General features: G+C 40.2%; 1 long non-coding RNA gene across 1 annotated transcript, besides 3 other annotated features; it reads right to left on the bottom strand.

Moving 5' to 3' along the window:
• Positions 1-1,779: 1,779 nt before the first annotated feature.
• Positions 1,780-23,600, bottom strand: LOC124901685 (uncharacterized). Its single transcript, XR_007060402.1, has 3 exons — positions 23,532-23,600; positions 2,180-2,256; positions 1,780-1,907 (listed from the first exon to the last, which is right to left on the bottom strand). It is a non-coding gene; the product is annotated as an uncharacterized LOC124901685 (long non-coding RNA).
• Positions 13,374-14,573: an enhancer, noted in NCBI's record as "MED14-independent group 3 enhancer chr7:80163190-80164389 (GRCh37/hg19 assembly coordinates)". NCBI's record gives its function as "activates an origin of replication core promoter dependent on BRD2, BRD4, P300/CBP and CDK7 cofactors, and independent of MED14, by STARR-seq in HCT116 cells {active_cell/tissue: HCT116}" and the evidence as "EXISTENCE:reporter gene assay evidence [ECO:0000049][PMID:35650434]".
• Positions 14,777-15,278: an enhancer, noted in NCBI's record as "NANOG hESC enhancer chr7:80162485-80162986 (GRCh37/hg19 assembly coordinates)". NCBI's record gives its function as "activates a minimal SCP1, AML or CMV promoter by ChIP-STARR-seq in primed H9 embryonic stem cells {active_cell/tissue: H9 hESC(primed)}" and the evidence as "EXISTENCE:reporter gene assay evidence [ECO:0000049][PMID:30033119]".
• Positions 19,415-19,914: an enhancer, noted in NCBI's record as "H3K27ac hESC enhancer chr7:80157849-80158348 (GRCh37/hg19 assembly coordinates)". NCBI's record gives its function as "activates a minimal SCP1, AML or CMV promoter by ChIP-STARR-seq in naive and primed H9 embryonic stem cells {active_cell/tissue: H9 hESC(naive and primed)}" and the evidence as "EXISTENCE:reporter gene assay evidence [ECO:0000049][PMID:30033119]".
• Positions 23,601-23,892: the final 292 nt, after the last annotated feature.

Here is a 23,892-nt window from a genome sequence, read left to right as displayed (position 1 = left end):
ACATTCTACTTACCAGAAAAATGTACCAGGGTCTTGGTAAATGCCAGTGCAATGGTACTGCTACAGAGGGTTTTACTAGCTAGTGGGGGAGATGGATAATAAATAAATAATAAATTTATGAAGAAAGGGCTTATAAGTCTATTAATTTGACAAACTGGTATGGCATTTCAGATAGAATTAAGAGATTTAAGAATGCAAAAATGTATGATTGGGAGAGAAGGGGACAGAGCAGGCTGGTGAGGAGATGGTGCTGGATAGGAAAGCCAAGACCTGATACAAGGGACCTGAATGCCAGGCCAAGGAATTAGACTTGATTTTCTAGGCCAGAATCTTAATTGGTAGGGATTCAGAAATCTCTATTTTAACAAGCTCTCAGGATGATTCATATGCTAAACTACCCAGCCTAATCAAATAAAAGAACCCTTTGGCCATTATCAGACATCAATAGTATGGCTTATAGATTATTTTTCTAAAATGATATAGCATTATTATTGTCTTCACATTCTTAGAATTATTTGTTGTTAAAGTTATATCAGTGATTTTTAAGTTGAAACAAGAAACTGTCATTTTCATATCTCAAACATTAAAATATCAATAGTTAACATATATTTCAATCTAGTTACTAAAATTTTACAAGTATTTAAAGAGAATAACATCACATATTATAGGGCTTTCATAACCTGGACCTTGATTATTTAACATGTGAGCTTTATCACAAACCCTTCAAAAATTAGGTCTTAATGAATTAATGTATTTATTGCCCATTCATGTATCTCGCTAACATTAGTTGAGTGCCGAATCCAGGGGTCAGGTCTAGTTCTAGACTCTAGAGATACCACAATGAAGGTGACTACAAAATCTCTGTAGTCAGAGAGCTTATGTTAATGGCCTGAAAGATCTTTTTAAAGTGATCTTCCACTAGACTTGAAGTAGGAAAACCTGGATTCTAATTTTGTCTTGGCCCTAAATTTGATGGTTTATTTGAGAAAAATATCCAGATTTTTGATCCATGACATAAAAATGTTTATATGTACTTTTACATAATCTCTAAATATCTCCTAGGCATAAAATTTCAAGCTTCTATTTTTCCACATATTTCATAAACTTCCAGGCTTTTCTCAGATATTTATACCATTAATTTTAATACCTTACTTCACAATATCTTTATTTCCATTTTGTTCATTCTCCTTATAGTATAGTTCTTATAGTTCTATTTTGTTTATTTCTTTTATCACTTTTGTCAATTTTTACAAATTGTCAGATAAAATCGTATGTATTTATCATGTACAACATGTTTCAAGGTGTATTTACATTGTGAAATGACTAAATCTAGCTAATTAACATATGAATTCATTCACATAGTTATATATTTTGTAGTAAGAACACCTATCCACTCTCTTAGCATTTTTCAAGAGTTCTATATATTACTAATCATATTGTAATACATAATAGTATCACTATATTGTACAATAGAGCTCTTGAACTTATTCCTCCCATCTAACTGTACTTTTATATCCTTTGACCAACATCTTCCCAGACCCCTTTCCTCAACTGCCCCAGCCCTTGGTAACACCATTCTACCCTTTGCTTATATGACATCAACTTTTTCAGATTCTACATATGAGTGAGATAATGTGGTATTTGTCTTTTTGTGCCTTGCTTATTTCACTTAACATTATATCCTCCAGGTTTCATATTTTAAAATTGGTACCCCTGACAAGTGTATTTACTGTAGTAGTCCATTTTCACGGTGCTGATAAAGACATACCTGAGACTGGGAAATTTACAAAAGAAAGAGGTTTATTGGACTTACAGTTCTACGTGGCTGGGGAGGCCACACAATCATTGCCGAAGGCAAGGAGGACCAAGTCATATCTTACGTGGATGGAGGCAGGCAAAGAGAGAGACTGTTCAGAGAAACTCCCGTTTTTAAAAACATCAGATTTCATGAGACCCAATCACTATTACAAGAACAGCATGGGAAAGACCCACCCTTATGATTCAATCATCTCTCACTGGGTCCCTCCCACAACACTTGGGAATTATGGGAGCTACAAGATGAGATTTGGGTGGGGACACAGAGCCAAACCATATCATTTCATCTCTGGCCCCTCCCAAATCTCATATCTTCACGTTTCAAAGCCAATCATGCCTTCTCAACAGTCCTCCAAAGTCTCACCTCATTTCAGCGTTAACTCAAAAGTCCACAGTCCAAAGTTTCATATGAGACAAGGCAAGTCCCTTCCGCCTATGAGCCTGTAAAATCAAAAGCAACTTAGTTACTTCCTAGATAGATACAATGGGGGTACAGAAATTGAGTAAATACAGCCATTCCAGATGGGAGAAACTGGCCAAAACAAAGGGCTACAGGCCCCATGCAAGTATGAAATCCAGCAGAGCAGTCAAATCTTAAAGCTCCAAAATGATTTCCTTTGATTCCATGTCTCACATCCAGGTCACGCTAATGCAAGAGGTAGGATCTCAAAGTCTTGGACAGTTCTGGCTCTGTGGCTTTGCAGGGTACAGCCGCCCTCCCAGCTGCCTTCACAAGCTGATGTTGAGTGTCTGTGGCTTTTCCAGGCCCATGGTGCAAGCTGTCAGTGGATCTACCATTCTAGGGTCAGTAGGATAGTGGCCCTCTTCTCACAGCTCCACTAGGCAGTGCCCCAGTAGGGACTCTGTGTGGGGCCTCCCACTCCACCTTTCTCTTCTGCACTGCCTTAGCAGAGATTCTCCATGAGGACCCCACCCCTAGAGCAAACTTCTACCTGGGCATTTAGGTATTTTCTTGGTTCTTCTGAAATCTAGGCAGAGGTTCCCAAACCTCAATTCTTGACTTCTGTGCACTCGCAGGCTCAACACCATGTGGAAGCTGCCAAGGCTTGAGGCTTGCACCCTCTGAAGCCATAGCCCGAGCTCCACATTGGCCCCTTTCAGTCATGGCTGGAGCAGCTGGGATGCAGAGCACCAAGTCCCTAGGCTGTACACAATGCAGAGACATTTCCCCCATTGTCTTAAGGATTAATATTTGGCTCCTCATTACTTATGCAAATTTTTGCAGCTGGCTTGAATTTCTCCTCAGAAAATGGGATTTTCTTTTCTGTTGCACTGTCAGGCAGCAAATTCTCCAAACTTTTATGCTGTGTTTCCCTTTTGAAACTGAATGCCTTTAAGAGCACCCAAGTCACCTCTTGAATGCTGTGCTGCTTAGAAATTTTTTCCACCAGATTCTCTAAATCATCTCATTCAAGTTGAAAGTTCCACAAATCCCTAGGGCAGGCAAAAAATGTCAGCAGTCTCTTTGCTAAGACATAACAAGAGTCACCTTTGTTCCAGTTCCAAACAAGTTCATCATCTCCACCTGAGACCACCTCAGCCTGGACCTTATTGTTCATATCACTATTAACATTTTTGTCAAAGCCATTCACTAAGTCTCTAGGAAGTTCCAAATTTTCCCACATTTTCCTGAGCCCTCCAAACTGTTCCAACCACTGCCTGTTACCCAGTTCTGAAGTTGCTTCCACATTTTTGGATATCTTTTCAGCCATGCCCCACTCTACTGGTGCCAATTTACTATATTAGTCCATTTTCATGGTGCTGATAAAGACATACCTGAGACTGGGCAATTTACAAAAGAAAGAGGTTTATTGAACTTACAGTTCCATGTGGCTGGGGAGGCCTCACAATCATGGTGGAAGGCAAGGAGGACTGTCACATCTTACATGGATGGCAACAGGTGAAGAGAGAGCTTGTGCAGAGAAACTCCTGTTTTTAAAACCACCATCAGATCTCATGGGACCCAATCACCATCATAAGAGTAGCATAGGAAAGACCTGCCTCCATGATTCAATCATCTCCCACTGGGTCCCTCCCACAACAAGTGGGGATTATGAGAGCTACAAGATGAGATTTGATTGGGGACACAGAGCCAAACCATATCAATTACCTATGATTTAATTCCTTCTTATTATAACTGAATCTGTAGACCTTCTATGAGACAGAAAGCAAAATAAAGCATTGCTCAATTGTTTAAGGCTTACAATTTCTGGATGTTCCTTCTTGAAAGCCTTATAGGAGCAGATGAAGAATCATAAGAAACTGTACTCTACTCTCTATGAAAACTACTTCCTCGACTTAAATAAATTGTGTTTTCTTTCAGCATAATATTTCCAAAGCACAAAGGAAAGGAGAAAAAAGAGAGAAAAAGAAAACAATGTTGGTTTCAAATATTTATGAGAGCACACTAGGTTTTGAAACTAGACCAACTGTTCCATAGAACTGATGTTTATAATTTCTTGGAGTAAACATAGAAATTAATCCTCCCAGTCTTACAACTTGAGAGTTACATTTGTCTTACCTGAGTTACCTTCTCAGGAAACCAGCTATCAGGCCTCCCAGATTATACCATGGAGCTGAAACTTACCAGATCACTGCACCTAGACAAAGAGACGCCAGACTCCTCACCCAACATGACTGCACCACCCTGCTGCCTGTTGACCAATTTCTCTGCCTTGTCCATCTCTAATTTCCATTTTCCCACACATGGTTTCATGTCTTCCCTGCTATATAAACCTCTAATTTTAGTCAGTGAGGGAGATGGATTTGAGACTGACCTCCCATCTCCTCAGCCACAGCACCCAATTAAAGCCTTCTTCCCTGACAATACTCATTGTCTCAGTGACTGGTTTTCTGTGTGGTGAGCAGCAGGACCTAGACAAAATCCCCAGTGTTTTGGTAACTTTTTTTTTTACCTAGTTGTCAATTTAAGGCATTTAAATTAACAAGTATTATTAAGTTATAAATTAAAATACTGTTAAGAATTTTTTTTAATTTAAAATACAGTGAAGAATAAGCAAATAGCTAATTACTGTGACTGTTTTCTTAAAATAACTGGAAATAATATAAGAGAGGGCAAGGTAGAAAATTATCTGTAGCAATAAATATGTTCATGTATTCATTTATTTTCTCACTGATATGGACCTTTAATTAGGAATGCAGTCAGATAGCCAATAAATATGTTTTAAGGATCTCCTATTCCTTAGGGACTCTAGAGGAGATAAAGGTTTAAAAAATATTTTAAATCTTTTTTAAGACCATGTCAGGATGGGCATGGCAGCTCATTGTTTTAGTTCCAGCACTTTGGGAGGCCGAGGCAGATGGATCACTTGAGCCCAGGAGTTCGTGACCATCCTGGGCAACATGGCTGGGTAATCCTGTCTCTACAAAAAATATAAAAATTAGCTGGTTGTGGTGGTGTAACCCTGTAGTCCCAGCTACTAGGGAGGCTGAGGTGGGAAGATCACTTGAGCCCAGGAGATCAAGGCTGCAGTGAGCTGTGAGTGTGCCACTGCACTCCAGCCTAGGTGACAGAGCAAGACCCAGTATCAAAAAAAAAAAAGTTAAAATTAAAATTAAACATGTTTTCTGTTCAGAAGGATCTTCCAGGTAAGTGGCCTGACTTCCATAGTTTGTTTTTTGAGAAGTAGGAAAGAAAGAAGACTCTTGGAATCCAGTGGGAGGGAGAAGGAAGTACAGAAAGGATAGGTTCTAACAGAAATTACAGCCTTAGGAAGATGTAATGGGTTTCAAAAAATTTATAACCCCAAACCCCCAAATTTCCCATTCCATACATTTTTCTATGGATTTTAGCTGGGATTTTTAGCTAAATGAAATCAAGAATAACTTTGTACCGAGAAAGGCTTTCCCAAGAGTGTAGAAAAAGCTGACTGTGACTCTTCACTTTGTGTTTGTCTTGAAATTCCTTTTGGCTGGTTGTCAAAGATGAGTCAATAGGCAAAAGCCTTAAGGAAATCAGGCTATAGGCAAATTGCAGATTTCATCAAGGAAAGAAAATGTTTTACAGATTCTTATCAGTCCAATAATGCCCAAGTATTGTGCTCTGCATGCCCATTGCCTAATAAGAAAATAAAATGCAAGAAAATTTATGGTAAGGAGTATTCAAAAGGACATAAATGAACAACTTGGGATTTCTCTGCAAAAATTTCAAGCAAATTTAGCAAAAATAGAATCATTTTTATTCTCATCTGTCTACAACTATTTATATAAGAATGACTAAATCACTGATTGAGGGTGAATTAGCTTAAGGTTTTGGAATCCTTTGGTGTCCTAAACAAAACTGAAATTTTAATTAAATATTATCTTTCACGTGATTCCTTTGCGTTTTTGTCTTAGAGATCTAGTACTAGTCTGCACCGTAAGGGTTTTTAATGCCTTTGAAGAAAGGCGAAAGAACATGTTCATAAATATTTTTTGCATTTGTTTACAAAGATAATTTCAACCGTGTTTAAGGGCCCCAGAGTTGATGAATTGAGGACAGTTAAGACTAGATATAGTCATGTTAAAGAAGTAACTGGACAGAGGAATAAAAGCAAAACTCATTAGTCATATAACTGTGAAGCTACTGTGATGTCCCTTCAGAAAAGACGACCTCAAATTAACCTTTATACACAAAAGCCTCCCATAAAGTGTGATTAATCTCCCCACGTGAGATTTTTGGTGCCCCCATTATGGCCTACTTTGACTGATGTGGATGTGATTTGCTTGATGGAATTGGTCAGCAGATTATCTGTCCTTTATAGTTGGTATATCATGGCTTGTTTGTTGAGAAGATCTTGGAAAACATTTTTTTAAAGTGTAGTTCATTTATTGAGCATCTAGTGTCTTTCACAGAGAAATACTTTGTTAACCTATATTAAAACATTTATTACTTAAAAATTATTTATTTCTGTTGCTTATTGTTCATTTTTATTAATTGTTACCTTTTTGATTACTCACAACAGTCCTGTGAATTTATCTGAGTATTTTGAACCATCCATTTATTGGGAAATCAATTTTAAATCTTTAAAACCACTCAAAAGAATAGATTTTCTATGACTTTCAGAAATCTCTTTAACAATTATGTAATGTTTTAAAGTATTCTCATCAATTCATATGTCCATTCGTTACTCTAATAAGACTTATTGAAGGCCTTGATGTGCCAGGTACTATGAAAGCTTTTTAAAAAATAGAATCACTCTACTCAGGAAGTCCTCAGTTCAATTCTGGAGACATATAATCTTGCTCAAGCAGTGTGGCAATAATTTTAATGGAATAGAGTGACTTCTACCATCTTTTACTTTTTATCAATTAGAAAGATGAATTATTGGAAGATGCTAAAATAAGTGAATGAAATGAGGAGTAAGAATGAGGGATACATATATATATATATATATATAAAATAAAATAGATACGATAGAATTCTGAAAAAAAAAATACATATATATACACACACACCACATCCCTTTCATCATAGGAAAGAAGATGTATTTCCAAGTCGTGGGAAGAAAAATAGCTTTCCTTGACCCTTTCTGAAGGTCCCTTGAGTAGTAATTCCTATGGAACAAGAAAGACAGTGATTGATTTCAGCTGTGCTAATAGTTTTTGGCCTGGGACTGAAGTCTCTCTCTTCCTTTCCTTTCTATTTACAGTTTTAAAATAGCTCAACAATGTGACACTGTTCTTTAAAATTCTGAGAAATGAATAGTAAAAACAGGGGAACAACACAGAGAAACCAATAACATAGCGAAACCAAATAAACAAATTTATTTAATGAGTTAACTTTATAAAAGTACCAAAATAGTTAATTTTTAAAAGTATAGCTAATGTAGGAATGTGAGACACTGGGACGAGTCTGAGGAGAAATTTGAAATCACTTAAATTCTATCAGATATGCATCAATCTGCCTATTCTACTCATTAGCAGAATTGGTCCTGCCTTGAGAATATTGCTTACAGAAGAAGAAAGTCAATGGCTAAACTAGAAAGAAGTTGAGCAATAGTCGGAGATAATTTATATTGTCATTTAACACAATGCCATAATCTGCATTCTCAGTAGTTAAAAGCATTAACAATAAAGTTCTCAAAGTAAGACTTTATCTGTATTTGTGAGAAATAATCTAGAGAATACTAGCACATCAGTTAGGAAGACAAAAATTCCACAAATATCTGGAAAAAACTGGTAATAACGAGATATTTCAAAAAAATAAATAAGGTCTTAGAATTTTACTAGGACTAATCTAAAACATGAAACCTGAAATAAATGTAGTAACTTGCAAGCAATTTACAAACTGTCATCAAAGCCTCCTGTGAGAAAGATTTCCATTTTCACTAATGCATATACATAAAAAGACTATATCCTTTTATACGGGTTTATTCTAGAGGATCACTGGAAATTTAAATAAATAATCACTTCTTTTGAGAAAATAGTTAAATAATGCAAAAGATAAATTACTTAGTTTTATAGAAGAATTTCATTAATGGCAATAGCTTGGATATCTAAATATTCTGAAACACCCAATTATTTACTTTTGTTCATGTAACGGTATATATAAATGCATTTCTGTGGACGAGAAACTGATATAAATGATTATCATGTAATTACACTTAAATACAGATAATTTTTATTTACTTTTTAAATATTCCCCCAAAACTCTATCATCAGCATTCTGTCCTATTCTATGAATACTCTCCGTGTAATTGTATTCACATATAATGTGTCTTAATCCATTCTGGTTGTTATAAAAAACACCAAAAACTGGTAGATTTATAAACAACAAATATTTAATCCTCACAGTTCTGGAAGCTGGTGACCCCAAGATCAAGGCACGAGTGGATTTGGTGTCTGATAAGGCCACTTCCTTGTAAAAGAAGCCTTCTTTTTTTTTTTTTTTTTTTTGAGACGGAGTCTCGCTCTGTCGCCCAGGCTGGAGTGCAGTGGCGGGATCTCGGCTCACTGCAAGCTCCGCCTCCCGGGTTCACGCCATTGTCCTGCCTCAGCCTCCCAAGTAGCTGGGACTACAGGCGCCCCCCACTACGCCCGGCTAATTTTTTGTATTTTTTTTAGTAGAGATGGGGTTTCACCGTTTTATCCGGGATGGTCTCGATCTCCTGACCTCGTGATCCGCCCGCCTCGGCCTCCCAAAGTGCTGGGATTACAGGCGTGAGCCACCGCGCCCGGCCAAAAGAAGCCTTCTTGCTGTGTCTTCACCTAGTAATAGGGGCAAAGAATCACCTTGGAGGCTCTTTTGTAGGGACACTAAGGCCATTCATGAAGGCTCCGCCCTCGTGACCTAAATACCTCCCGAGGCTCCAACTCCAAATACTCTTGCTTTGGGGATTAAGTTTCAACATATACAATTTGGGGTACATAAATATTTAGACTATAGCAGTGAGCAAGAAATAAATCATTATTTCAAGTCACTGAGTTTTGGCATTGTTTGTTAATGCAAGTATGACTGGTTCTATTTTGACAGATGCAGAGCCATACAATTCTATTAAATCAATAATTTCAAGAGAAAAACATTCCAAAAAATTAATGTTCATATCTTAGAACTATGTTTAACCACATTCAAAGCAACAATTTTATTTTTTCAAGAGAGCAAAAAGAATACTCATTTCAATACAGAAACCACTCATTCTTTCAAAAAATTTTGAATGTCTCTGATATGTCAGGCATTATGTCAAGATCCACCACTACAATGGTGAATAACATTTCTAGTCCTTTTGGAGCCTAAGTTTGAAGAGTTAAAAACGAAATTACTCAATTATATGTATTAATGAATGTTATTAGCATGGTAAGCCAAGAGTTTTAGGGGAAAACATAACAGAATATTTGATCTAGTCTAGGGTAGTAGAGAGGGTTTTAAAATTTTTGTTTTAAGAGGATAAGACGTCAAAGTTGCCACTTGAAAGATTAGAAAGAGCTGTCCAAATTGGGGGAGTTTAAGGCAGTGAGGAAGTACAAGGCATAGGGAACAGTTTGTGCAGTATCCTAGAGGGCAGAGAAAAAATGTATATCTGTGAGGTTAAGATGCTTAGTGTGACTAGAGAGGGAGTGTGGTGTTAGAACTTCCTGTTAGTGTCACAACAGGATACGTATGGAGAATTCTAACAAGGTCTCAGCCAACTCTACAAGAAGCTCTGGGATGGTGACCTGAAAAGAGACTGGAAGTTAGGCAAGAGGTGGATAATGCAATAAGTAATAAGGCAAACTGCTGCTGATTAAATTGAGTAGCCAAGTCAAGCAAGCTTTCGATATTGCAGCCTGCATGAATGACTGTGTGTGTGTGTGTGTGTGTGTGTGTGTGTGTGTGTGTCTTCCCCAAGGTATGTGTCTGAACATGTCCAGTTAACTTATGATATTCTTCACTTGTGAGTTACTTGGAAAACTGTTAATGCAAGCAAAACCATAGATGTATTTTTCTCCAAGGACACTTAAGGAGTGTCATAGTGAAGGAAGATGATGAGAAGAGTGTAACAATAAATAAGATCAATTAGTTTCAGAAGAAAATGAGTGGTAGGAAGGCCACTTCTCAATAAACTGGACATTTACTGTTGTCAGTTATGACACCAGTTTATTTTTCTGCCCAATTGCTCCCATTTGGTGTCCTCCTTTCCATATCCTTTACATGCTTCTAAGTCCTCATGGCCTTCTGCTCTAATTTTTAGCAAGACTTGCTTTTAGAAAGTGATCTTTAACCCATTCACTGCCGAGTGGAAAGAATAATAACAACACAAATGACTTTGGTTTCTGGGAATACAACATCATTGGGGAATTTATCTAAGGTTATTTAAAAGTTTATATTTCTCAATACCTTAATTTTTGTGTGTGTGGAGGAAATGGTGATCCTTTGAACAGACAATCTAATAATCTGTCCTCAAAATTATTGTAAATCACAAGTGTGTCCATGTGGCTTTGGTGAAATCACTGTGTGTTAAATACTCCATGTGAATCGATAATAATATATTTTAAACATACTGAACAGGAAGTATAAGAAAATATGAAACCAGTTAATATGTTACTAGAGTAAGTCAGGGATGAACTGTCTGAACAAAAGCAGGAGAAATATGAATGGAAATGAGCCTTAGGCTGGAGAGAAATTATAGAGTTAAAAATGGAAAGACTGTTTCCTTGAATGTGGGAACAAAGTGAAAATGAATAGGATACATTGGGCAATTGAGTCAAAGACAGTACAATTTAACTCATAAAATGCGGTGTGAACAGGTTTGCTGGAGGTGGTAGTGGTGGTGGTGGTGGTTGTCTGCTTTGGACATACTTGGCTTAAAGTATGTTTCTGATGTGGTTCTGTGGGAAGCTGACTCTAAAACAAGCTAACATGAAGGAAGCTTAGGGTCAACACCTGTTGGGGAAGTGACAGTGGCAGAATTACACAGAGAAGGGCTGCAAATGGGCTTCAGTGCAGTAGTAACAAAGTCTCAGCCAACTCCACACTGAGCTCTGAAGCTGGGATGAGCCTTCAGATTTATCCCAATTTGAGGCACCGGTCATTAGACATAGGCTATCCCTCATAGAAGTGTGTGACCATGGGTAAGGTAGACATTTTTGGCCGAGAGAAATTTCTAGAGAGAAATGACAACTCTCTGCTGTTAGCATTCTAGCAACTAGGGAGGGTAAGTCCAGTCTTGTCTGGCTGGGCACAGCATCCATAACAGGATACTGATGGGAAAGTCTAACAAACCTGTCATTAGGCTACGCAATATAAAAGAACTGTGTTGGAGATATAATCATCATTAATTATGTAGGCAGGTGCTATCGGGACAACTCTTTTTGTCACAGGACAAGGAAGAATAAAATTTTGAACAACTGCCATGTGCCAGTTCACTCACTTGTGACAATAGATTTTGATATCATCATGTGTAGTTAAGAAAACTTAAGCCCAGAAAGTTCTGTCTATCACCCCATTATGCTTACTAAGAAAGCTTTGATAACTTCCTTCTTCAGATATAGAATAGGTCTGAGTTATGGTGCTTTGTCTAGTGGAAGAGTTTCGATGAAGTGTATTTTGAAAATGGGAAGTTCTGGGAGGCCTCTGAGTTTTAAGAAGGAATGTGCCGAGAGAGAAGAAATGAACTCTTAAAAGTAAGGTAGAATGATGCAAATAATGATTTTGCTCACTTCACATTAAGGTAACTCTCTCTTTAAAGGGATTGGTTTTAGGTAAAATAAAAGCCAATTGTTGTGCAGTAATGTCAGTTGCCCATACTAAGCAAACTCCATGGAAGATAACAAAGACTTTCTCTACATTCTCCCAATGGTTCATTGTTGCCCATTATAGGAAAAGGTTGGGTTTGCACTACTTCTTGAAGCTAAAACAAAGGAAGGTCAATCTGATTCTTACATATTTTGCATCTGACTCAAATTGTTTGATTCAACAAATAACAAGATATAAATTTAATTGACTGCTAGATCCATGCACACCTAGAAGGAATGTTCTATTTTACATCGCACAAATTTTCAATTTTAAAATAAATACACTCTGATATCCTGAAAATGCATGAGATTTATGATGACATTTCACATTTTAGGACAAAGAGTATGTTTTGATAAATAATTCAAAAGTCCTGGGAGATTTTGCCTGGAACAGCAAAGAACATAACAGAAATGTGATAAGATATAGGACGAGGAGGGTGTATTAGAGTCATATAGCAGAGAGATGAGAATGTCAACCTCCAAAACTATGGAGGTTTTTAAAGGGGGCATAGGAAAATATACTTAGCCATATTATGGAGACTGAATAGGAAAAGTGAGAGCAGCTAGCTAGAAAAACTATTACCATGATCTAAATAGAGTTCATCTTGGTTTGAACTTAAAGATGAAGAATTCCATATTTATATACCTTGAACTTTGGTGTCATCTGAGCCTTAATTCTCTCCCCATACTTAAAACATACTTCATTTTTAAAATAAAATAATGATCTCTCCCTTGAGTATTAGTCATGAATTTTCAAATGCCTATTATATGCTTTCTTATGGAGATCCTGCCATCATATCAAATCAAACAAATAAGTGTTAGTCTTATTATTTTGTATTTCAAATGTGTTTCCCTTTACCCCCAATCTTGTTCATTTACGTTAACATTATCCCAATTTAGAACAAAAGAGAGGCCTTACTATTTTATTATATTACAAGACCATAGCAAACTCACTGGCATGATTACTTTTGTTTTACAGATGAGCTGAGTATATGATTAAAGGCACAAAACTAGGGAAGACACAATTTGAGCCCAAGACTCTCTGACTCCAAAAATAGTGTTCCTTTCACAGCACCAAATTTTCATTCCATGTTCTTTTCCCATCAAGCATCTATTATTATCTTTTTCTTGATATTATTTCTAGTATTTGGACATTTTAAAATTACTTCCCCATATTCAGTTCAGTACCCTAATTCTCATCCTTATTTTCTAATGTTTTAAATATTGTAATAGGACTCTTACTTGATTCTTTATTTTTATTTTCTTTTCTGTCAACCTATATAGTATGGCACAGGTATATTTTTTTCTTAAAATGCTGCTTCTACTTGGCCATTTCCTTACTCAAAAATATCTATTAGCTCCTTCCAACCTGTACCATAATCCCTTACCTTGGAATTTGATGCCAGCCACAATCCTATTTGAATCAGTTTTTAAATATGTATTTGTCTTTTATTGCTCTTCTACACACACAATTCTCAAATCAAACTGACCTGTTCATGGTAATTCACCACACTGTCTCTCAATCTCACCTATGTCTGTGGAAATTCCTGCCTCCAGATCTCAGGATATGTATCTTTCTTCAACTGGAAAAATCATAAATGCTGCTCTATATTGGTCTTCCAGGAACCATGCTAAGAGTTTCTAATATTCAAAAGAGCTTTGTAAGTCTCTAATTTTATAAGGAAGGAAAGTAAAAATTTTCACAAGATTACATAATAACCAAGAAAATAGTATATCCAGGGATGGGTACAGAGGAAAGACCATGTGAGGACACAGCAAGAAAGCAGCTATCTGCAAGCCATGGATGGAAGTCTCAGAAGAAATCCAAACTCCCAACACCTTGAACTTGGATGTCCAGGCTCCAGAACTGTAAGAAAATAAATCCCCATTGTTTCAGCTACCCAGTCTGTAGTATTTTGTTATGGAAGTTCTAGCAAACTAATATATGCCAGTATTTTGTTTCTTTTTTTTTTTTTTTGAGACGGAGACTCACTCTGTTGCCCAGGCTAGACTGGAGTGCAGTGGCACAATCTCAGCTCACTGCAAGCTCTGCCTCCCAGGGTCATGCCATTCTCCTGCCTCAGCCTCCCAAGTAGCTGGGACTACGCACCCGCCACCATGCCCGACTAATTTTTTGTATTTTTAGTAGAGACGGGGTTTCACCGTGTTAGCCACGATGGTCTCAATCTCCTGACCTCGTGATCCACCCGCCTCGGCCTCCCAAAGTGCTGGGATTACAGGCTTGAACCACTGTACCCGGCCGTATTTTTGTTTCTTTATGTTAAAATCAATATTAATTGAAGTTGACAGAGTCAATTTACCTAAAACAATTTAGATTTCCACCAAATATTTTAAGAGCATTCATTTCTCCATATCATAACCAGTAACTGAATTTCTTAATACTACTTTTTGGCAAATATGGTTGTCCTGCAATTCAAACATCCTCAGTATTGCTGGCAGAAGTATGAACTATGTCTCCTGACAATATTCTCTCCATCTTATTGCCTACAGAAATTCATGAAAGGATCAAATGTAAATGGACTGACTTACTCCATTTGTGCTGCTATAGCAAAATACCACACACCAGGGAATTATAAATAACAGAAATGTATTTTCTCACAACTCTGAAGCCTGGCAAGACCAAGATCAAGGTGCCAGTAGGTTTGGTTGTTTGGTGAGGGCTGCGTCCTTTAGAGAGGAGGACCATTGTGTCCTCACTTGGCAGAAGGTGGAAGGAAAAGTGAAAGGTGCATGAAGCCTCTTTTTTAAGGGCCTTAATCCCATTTACCAGAGAGGAGACCTCATTGCCTAATCACCTCTGTATTGTTGGGGAAAAGCTGAGTGTTGGGGAAAAATACTGAGGCAGGGCTTGCCTGTCTGACATAATGTCCTCTGGAATGTGTCTGGACTTGCTGGCTCCTTGCTTCTAGCCCTCCTAGGCTCTGAGATCGATTGTATTCCCATTATCTCAAGTAGCAGAACATGTTCCATATAAATGCTAAACCATCACAGCTGTAGATCATGCACCTGCCCTTTTGACCTCCACATTCTTACAACCTGTTTCTTTGTTGGATTACCAGTAAATAGTGTGGGCTCCCAGAGCTAAGGGCCTTCGCAGCCTCCACAATCGCGATGGCCCCCGGTCCCACTTTACTTCTCAAACTGTCTTTTTCTCAATCCTTTGACTCTGCTGGACTTCATCGCCCCCACGACCTGGTGTTGGGTCTCATCACCCCAACACTGTATTATTCTATTTTCATGCTACTGATAAAGACATACCCAAGACTGGCAATTTACAAAAGAAAGAGGTTTCTTGGACTCACCGTTCCACATGACTGGGGAGGACAAGGGGGAACAAGTCACATTTTATGTGGATGGCACTAGGCAAAAAGAGAGCTTGTGCAAGGAGACTCCTGTTTTTAAAACCATAAGATCTCATGAGACTCATTCACTGTCATGAGACTAGCATGGGAAAGACCCACCCCCATGATTCAATTGTCTGCCATTGGCTCCCTCCCAAAACACATGGGAATTATGGGAGCTACAAGATGAGATTTGGGTGGGGACACAGAGCCAAACCATATCATTCCACCCTGGCCCCTCCCAAATCTCATATCTTCACATTTCAAAACCAATCACGCCTTCCTAGCAGTTGCCCAAAGTCTCAACTCATTTCAGCATTAACTCAAAAGTCCACAGTCCAAAATCTTATCTGAGACAAGGCAAGTCCTTCCGCCTATGAGCCTGTACAATCAAAAGTAAGTTAGTTATTTCCTAGATACAGTGGGGGTACAGGTATTGGGTAAAGACACACATTCCAAATGGGAGAAATTGGCCAAAGCAAAGGGGATACAGGCCCCCTGCCAGTCCAAAATCCAGCGGGGCAGTCACATCTTAAAGCTCCAAAGTGATCTCGTTTGACTCCATGTCTCACATCCAGGTCACACTGATGCAAGAGATAGGTTCCCATGCTCTTGGGCAGCTCTGCCCCTGTGGCTTTCAGGGTACAGCCTTCCTCCCAGCTGCTTTCATAGGCTGGCATTGAGTGTCTGCAGCTCTTCCTCCAGGCACATGGTGCAAGCTGCCAGTGAATCTACCACTCTGGGGACTGGAGGACGGTGGTCCTCTTCTCACAGCTCCACTAGGCAGTGCCCCAGTAGGGACTCCATGTGGGGTCTCTGACCCCACATTTCCCTTTTGCACTGTCCTAGCAGAGGTTCTCCATTAGGGCCCTGCCCCTGCAGAAAACTTCTCCCTGGGCATCCAGGCATCTTCATACATCTTCTGAAATATGAGTGGAGGTTCCCAAACCTCAATTCTTGACTTCTGTGCACTGGCAGGCTCAACACCACATGGAAGCTGCCAAGGTTTGGGGCTTGCAACCTCTGAAGCCGTGGCCCGAGCTCTATGTTGGCCCCTTTCAGCCACAGCTAGAACAGTTGGGATGCAGGGCACCAAGTCCCTAGGCTGCCCACAGTATGGAGACCCTACCCTGGGTCCGGCCCCCAAAACCACATATTTTTTCCTAGGCCTCTGGGTCTATGATAGAAGGGGCTGCTGTGAAGACCTCTAACATTCCCTGGAGACCTTTTCCTCATTGTCTTGGGGATTAACATTCGGCTCCTTGTTACTTATGCAGATTTCTGTAGCCAGCTTGGATTTCTCCTCAGAAAATGGAATTTTCTTTTCTATTGCATTGTCAGGCTACACATTTTCCAAACTTTTATGCTCTGCTTCCCTTATAAAACTGAATGCCTTTAAGAGCACCGAAGTCACTCCTTGAATGCATTGCTGCTTAGAAATTTCTTCCACCAGATACTCTAAATCATCCCTCTCAAGTTCAAAGTTCCACAAATCTCTAGGGCCAGGGCAAAATGCCACCAGTCTCTTTGCTAAGACATAACAAGAGTCACCTTTGCTCCAGTTCCCAACAAGTTTCTCATCTCCATCTGAGACTCCCTCAGCCTGCACTTTATTGTCCATATCACTATCAACATTTTGGGCAAAGTCATTCAACAAGTCTCTAGGAAATTCCAAACTTTCCTACATTTTCCTGTCTTTTTCTGAGCACCCCAAACCCTTCCAACCTCTGCCTGTTACCCAGTTCCAAAGACACTTCCACATTTTTGGGTGTCTTTTTTTCAGCAACACCCCACTCTACTGGTACCAACTTACTGTATTAGTCTATTTTCACACTGCTGATAAAGACATACCTGAGACCTCGTAATTTACAAAAGAAAGAAGTTTAATTGGACTCACAGTTCCACATGGCTGGGAAGGCCTCACAGTCATAGTGGAAGGCAAGGAGAAACAAGTCACATCTTACGTGGATGGCAGCAAGCAAAGGGAGAGTTTGTACAGGGAGACTCCGGTTTTTAAAACCATCGGATCTCATGAGACCCATCAACAATTACGAGAACGGCATGGGGAAGACCCAACCCCATGATTCAATCATCTCCCACTGGGTCCCTCCTACAACACGTGGGAATTATGGGAGCTACAAAATGAGATTTGGGTGGGGACACTAAGCCAAACCATATCAACCTCATAAAGGACCTGCCTCTTAATACTATCCCATTGGCCAAACCTGAATTCAGGTGGTGGCACATTTGAAGCATAGCATGGTGCTAGTATTCACTAAGCCACTTATAACTAATGATGTAACCAGGAGTATAATTCAGATTTTTCTGGTTCCAAACTCTACAGTTTATTAATTAGTATGGGTGATAAATGTATATATACATAATTTAAATACATTGACATAAGTTCTTAGATGTATTGTTGAGTATTGAGTCACTCAATTCTGGAGACTAAGAAGCCCTACAATCTGTTGCCTGCAAGGAGGAGACCCAGAAAAACTGTTGACGTAGTCTGTAGGCATGAGAACCAGAAAGCCAATGATGTAGATTCTTGACAGAGTCTGAAGGTCTAAGAACTAGGATTACTGAGAGCAGGAAAAGACTGATGTTCCAGCTCAAACAGTAGGCCAAGAGCCCCTTTCTCCTCCTATCAATTCTGTGCTTTGCCATGATGGAACTCTTATACAAGCAAGTTTGCTAATCTCCTGCAAACAGCTGCTGTTAGCAATTCCTATGGGGGAAGAATGGGCCAGGATTTTTGCAGTTCCACACTTCAGCATAGAGCTCTAAAAGTCAAAGAGTGCTAAATTTCAGCATGGCTCTTTACAGCATTATGAAGTTACTTTTTCTAAGTAAGAGGAAAAAATATATTTCATTAATAGTCTGTTAGCTTGATTAATAACAAATATTTTGAAATGTAGTACATGTCCCTCAAGTGATACTCCAGCTGAAAATGTTATAGGTCTGGCTGGTTTCAAGAATTAATTTTCAATATATTTTTTAATTGACCATTCACCAGTATTTGACAGACTGAATCACTCCCTTCTCTTAAAACCTTTTCATTACTTGGCTTCTAGGAAAAGAGTACATTCTCCTGACTTTTTAATATTCATATTAGCTGCAACTTCTTAAGCTCCTTTAAGTTATCTTGGACACAGTCTTTGGAATTCTTTTCTTTTCTAGTTTTACATAATCTCTTGATTATCTCAGCTCCTTTTGTAGTTTTAAAGTCCATCAATTGCTGATGACTCCAAAATTACATTCTAGCCATGATTCCGAACTCTAGTCTCATATGTGAGATGGCCTGCTTGAACACTTAATTTGGCTAGTAATTATTTCAAACATATTATATTCAAAATTGAGGTCTTGATTTTCTGCCTTAGTCCACTGTCTGTTGCTATAACTGAATACCACAAACCAAGTAATTTAAAAAGAAAATATGTTTATTTAGCTCGTGATTCTCAAACCAGAAATTCCAAGAGCATGGCATCAACGTCTGGTGAGAGCCTTCTTGCTGCATGATAACATGGCAGATAGCATCACATGTGAGAGAATAAGAGCAAGGGAGCCAGAGAGAGCTTGTTTTGGAAGCAGAGGGATTGTTTCCAATACATAGACTTTTGGGGGACACGTTCAAACTATAGCAGTTTTTCTCCTCCAAATCTGCTCGCTACAGTCTTTCCCATCTCAATTGTTTTGAATTTCTTTAAGGCGGTAGACATAGACATAAATATCTATGTCTTTAGGGTTAGTTACTGGTGATTTCTTTTGTTCGTTTGTGCCATGTTTCCCTGATTTTTCTCGATCCTTGTGTCTGTGCATTGGTGTCTGCATATTTGAAGAAGTAGGAACATTTTTAGTCTTTGCAGACTGGCTTTGTCTGGGAAAATCCTTCACCAGTGATCCTATCCAGAGATTCTGGGGAAGTCATGTAGTATGTAGTCTGTGGTCAGGCTTACTGCTGGAATCTTAGTTGATTGGTTCAGCAGGTGAGTGGGCCTGCCAGGTTCTACGGAGATTGGCCTGAAGCCTGGGTTTACAGGGGCTGACCTGGCACCAGGGTAAGACATGAGCCTGAATCCACAGGGGCTGGCTTGGAGGCTGGCTCTGTAAGGGTGGTCATGGAAGTTCAGTCCATGGGGGCTGGCCTGACCCTAGAGTCTAGTGGGGTGGACCAGATCCTTGGTCTACTGGAGCAGGTCTGGACATTGGATCCACTGGAACCTGAGGCCAGCCTGGTGCTGGGGCGGGTATACAGTCTGAGTTGATAGAGGCCAGTTGGAGGCCTGAGACCATGAGTGCCAGCCTGGAGTCTGGGGCCTTTGAGACCTGTCTGGAGCTAGACCTGTGAGGGCCAGATTGGAAGGTGGCTGTGTGGGTACTGGCCTGGAGGCTAGGTTTGTGATGGCTTGCCTGGGTCTGGGGTTGTGAGAGTGGCCTGAAATCTGGGACTACAGGGGTAGTCTTAGAGCCTGACTTCCTGGGAGCCAGCTCAGTGCTAATACCTACTGGAACAGGCCTAAACCTTAGGTTTGCTTGAACGTGGGGCCACAGGGGCTAGCCTGGAGGGTGGGGCTACAGGAGCTGGCCTGGCACTGGGCAGGCCTGGAGCCTATGAGTGCTGGCCTGGTGACTGAGACCAACCGGGGGTGTCAAGTCAACCTGGCCCTGAAGTGGGCCTGAAACCTGGAGCTATGTGAGCTGACTTTGTTCTGGGTTGGTATGGAGGCTGAGGTGGGCCTGGAGCTTGAGGCTACAGGGCGAGACCTGATGCTAGGGAGGCCTGGAGACTGTATAGCAGGTTACAACTAGGACTGCAGGTACTGGCCTGGTGCTGGGGCTGATGGGATCAGCCTGGTGATTGAATGGACCTGGAGGCTTGGTCTGAGGGTACCAGCCTGGATGGCGGTGGGGGACTGGCCAGTGCTAAATTTTACTGACATGAGCCTAATTTGGGGGTCCAAAGCAAAGCCTTTTGCTTGCTTTTCTCTTCTCCCATGCGGAGGGTATCTCTCTCCACTCTATGCAGCCTGGGGTTAGGAGAGAGGTAGTAATGAGTAATGTAAAACTGTTTCCTAATCTCTTTGATGTGCCTTTTCTTATTTCTGTGCTATACCCAGGTGCTGTAACCTTTCTACCTGGTTTCTCTAGCTGTTGCGAAGGCATGTTCATTCATGGATAGTTATTCAAATTGATGATTCTGCAGAGGGGTAAGCACTGGAAGTCCTACTCCACCATCTTGCTGCTATCTAGCCTCCTTCCACCCCAATATATAGCACATTCTTCCTTACCATTACTCAGGCTCCTTTCTTTTGCTCAAACCCCACATCACATCTTTTAGCAAATCCTGCCAGTTCTACCTGTCAAATGTACCAAAAATCTCACCATTTCTTAACATCGTGATCATCTAGCCTACATCATGTTGCCTTCACCTGGATTATTGCAAATTTTTTCTAATTTTTCTATTTCTGCCCTAGATCACTTCAGTATATCTTCAACATGTTCATATCAGTTTACTCCACTCCTCAAAACCCTGCAATGGTTTTCAGTCTCTCACAGAGAAAAGCCATAGTCCTGACCTAATCTAAGAGTCCCTCAGTGATCTGGACAGCCCACACCTGTGCCCACTAATGCTCCCTCCCTCCCTCCCTTCCTCCCTTCCTTCCTTCCTTCCTCCCTTCCTCCCTTCCTTCCTCTCACCCTCCCTCCCTTCCCTCCTTCTTTTCTCTTTTCTTTTCTTTCATGCAGTCTTGCTCTGTTGCCCATGATGGAGTGCAGTGGCATGATCTCAGCTCACTGCAGCCTCCACCTCCCGGGTTCCAGAGATTCTCCAGCTTCAGCCTCCCAAATAGCTGGGATTACAGGCGCCCACCTCTATGCCTGGCTAAATTTTTTTTCTTTTTTTGTACTTTTAGTAGAAATTAGGTTTCACCACGTTGGCCAGGCTGGTCTAAACTCCTGACCAAGTGATCCATCCGCATCGCCTTCCCAAAGTGCTGGGATTATAGGCGTGAGCCACTGCACCCAGCCTCCACCTTCCTCGTGTACTACTCTTCCCATACCCACTCTACCCCAGACACCCAGATTCCCTTGCAGTTCTCCAAATACACTAGGCAAGTGCCTGCCTCACAGACTTTGCAATTATTATTTTCTTGGCTCAGATTTGTCTTTCTCCTGATGTCTGTGTTTTTCATTTCCTAATTTCTTTAATGTCTTTGCCCAAATGTTACTGGAGTTAATATTCTGCTATACCACCTAAAACCCCTTTCATGACTAAGACACTCATTCTTACAGCTACTGGAAGTATTAACAGCTGAGTTTCCTTCCAGAAATTGTCCTTAACCGAAAGGACTTCCCTGGCCAAGGTTATAACTGAGGGCAGCCACATCCAATGACTCGGATAATGGGAGCATGAGGGTTCACGCTCCTTTCAGTTTTAGCTCTGAAGAGTTTTCCCAGCTATAGACTCCCTTTAGAATCAGCAGAGGACTCTCTTGTACCTCCACTGTAGTTCAACTGTTTCTGCTGCCTGCCTTTTTCATTCTATACAGGTATATCTGCCGATGGCGTATCTTATCACTCTCCCACTTTATGCAAATATCTGCCCTAGACTCTGTTTCCAGGAAGCCTAATCAAAGAGAGTTGGTGCCAGGAGTGGTCCTAGGATGCAGACTCTAGAAAGGGATATTGAAACCAGATTATCCAGCCCGAACCCCACCTCTCAACCAGCTGGGCAATTAGGACCCCATTACTACTTGTAGGTGTGTTACTTGTAGTTCCTGATTTGCAGTAGCAGAACAATTTTTTAAACTTTCATTGATAGTGACCTAAAATGTGATCTGAGTAAGAGGCAATGATGGGTCAAATTTCACAGTTTGAGAGGTGTAGGGAAAGTGGAAATTTTAAGAACTATAGCACTGCATAGTATTCCATGGTGGGGAGGGATAGCATTAGGAGATATACCTAATGTAACTGACGAGTTAACGGGTGCAGCACACCAACATGGCACATGTATACATATGTAACAAACCTGCACGTTGTGCACATGTACCCTAGAACTTAAAGTATAATAAAAAAAATAAAAATATATATAAAGAAAAATCAATAGACAAAAAAAAAAAGAACTATAGCACTGATGGCTATTTGCTGAGAACTACCAATCCACTAGAGAAAGACAACGGAAGGCCAATGGTGGTTAGTCACTAATTTAATGTAAAGTGTAAAAGCCAGAGGGACTTTTTGGCTGCATAAAAACAAGCATTTATCTCCTGGAGTGGAGAAATGGCTTGAAAACACAATGATTAGGTGCAGGACTTAATGAGAAAGATAGCAAGTTCCAGAGAGGACTGAATTTTCAAGCTTTTTAAATCTACTACAACAAGATCAAGGTCTTCACTGGGAAGGAGTGGGACCTTGAGATTTAGAATAAGGATGCCTGGGCTGATGCATCAAAAGATCTTGAATTCTTAAATTCCCCTGGACCCTTTGGGCTGGAAGATGTGGCATACTTCCTTTTTAAAGGCTAGCAATCCCTCTTGCATGAAGCCAATGCCCAGGCTCTTGTCTCATAAGATAACATGCACCTTAAACCTTAGTGGGGATCTATGTTTTCTTCTCCTTCTGGAGAACAAGTTAATAACTGTAATCTACTTACACCATACCTAGTCAGGCAAGTTCTGGACCTGCTAACAGAAGAAAGAGACCATGGACCACCATATACCAAAAGAGCTGCAGAAGCTAGCCAGTGTGAAATTTCAGGAAAGATACTGTGTTCTAAGAGTGCTGAATTAAAGGAAGATAACACATAAAGTTGGATAAAGAAGACATATCAGAGAGAAACCCTTTTTTTGTATCAGATTCAACACCCTGAGAGATAGCATTAATGTTTTCTACGAAGACTCTTGGAAGCCTGAATATAGTGTTGTCCTATGACAAACGGCAGAGGAAGGTGGCAAAAGACTCAGAGTTGACATATTAGAAAGAATAATATTAATACATAAGGCTGGAAAATAAATCAGACTTCAAGAAGTTGCCAGAAAGCTTTATGTGTACTGAAATTTAAAAGGAATTCACTAGTGAGAGGGATTTCAGCCAGGGTTGATAATAGAAAAAACAGTAACAGACCTCTTCTTGTAGCTGAAGGCAGGTTCCACCGCTTGCCGCTTGCCGCTTGCCAAGCCAGTGAACAAGAAGGAAGTGCAGTGGAAGGAAAGTGATTTTATTCTTGAGCTAGCAGTGGGAAAATGGTCAAGTCTCTTGTCTTAAAGAAATCGTTTCAGGCCGGGCGCGGTGGCTCTCACCTGTAATCCTAGCACTTTGGGAGGCTGAGGCGTACGGATCAGAGGTTGAGACCATCCTGGCCAACCTGGTGAAACCCCATTTCTACTAAAAATACAAAAATTAGCTGGGTTTGGTGGCACGTGCCTGTAATCTCAGCTACTTGGGAGGCCAAGGCACAAAAATTGCTTGAACCCAGGAGGAGGAG

The sequence above is a fragment of the Homo sapiens genome, chromosome 7, assembly GCF_000001405.40.
Source record: "Homo sapiens chromosome 7, GRCh38.p14 Primary Assembly".
Lineage (NCBI taxonomy): Eukaryota > Metazoa > Chordata > Mammalia > Primates > Hominidae > Homo > Homo sapiens.
The sequence above is the reverse complement of the archived record's forward strand: the minus strand, read 5'-3'. Positions and strand labels throughout refer to the sequence as shown.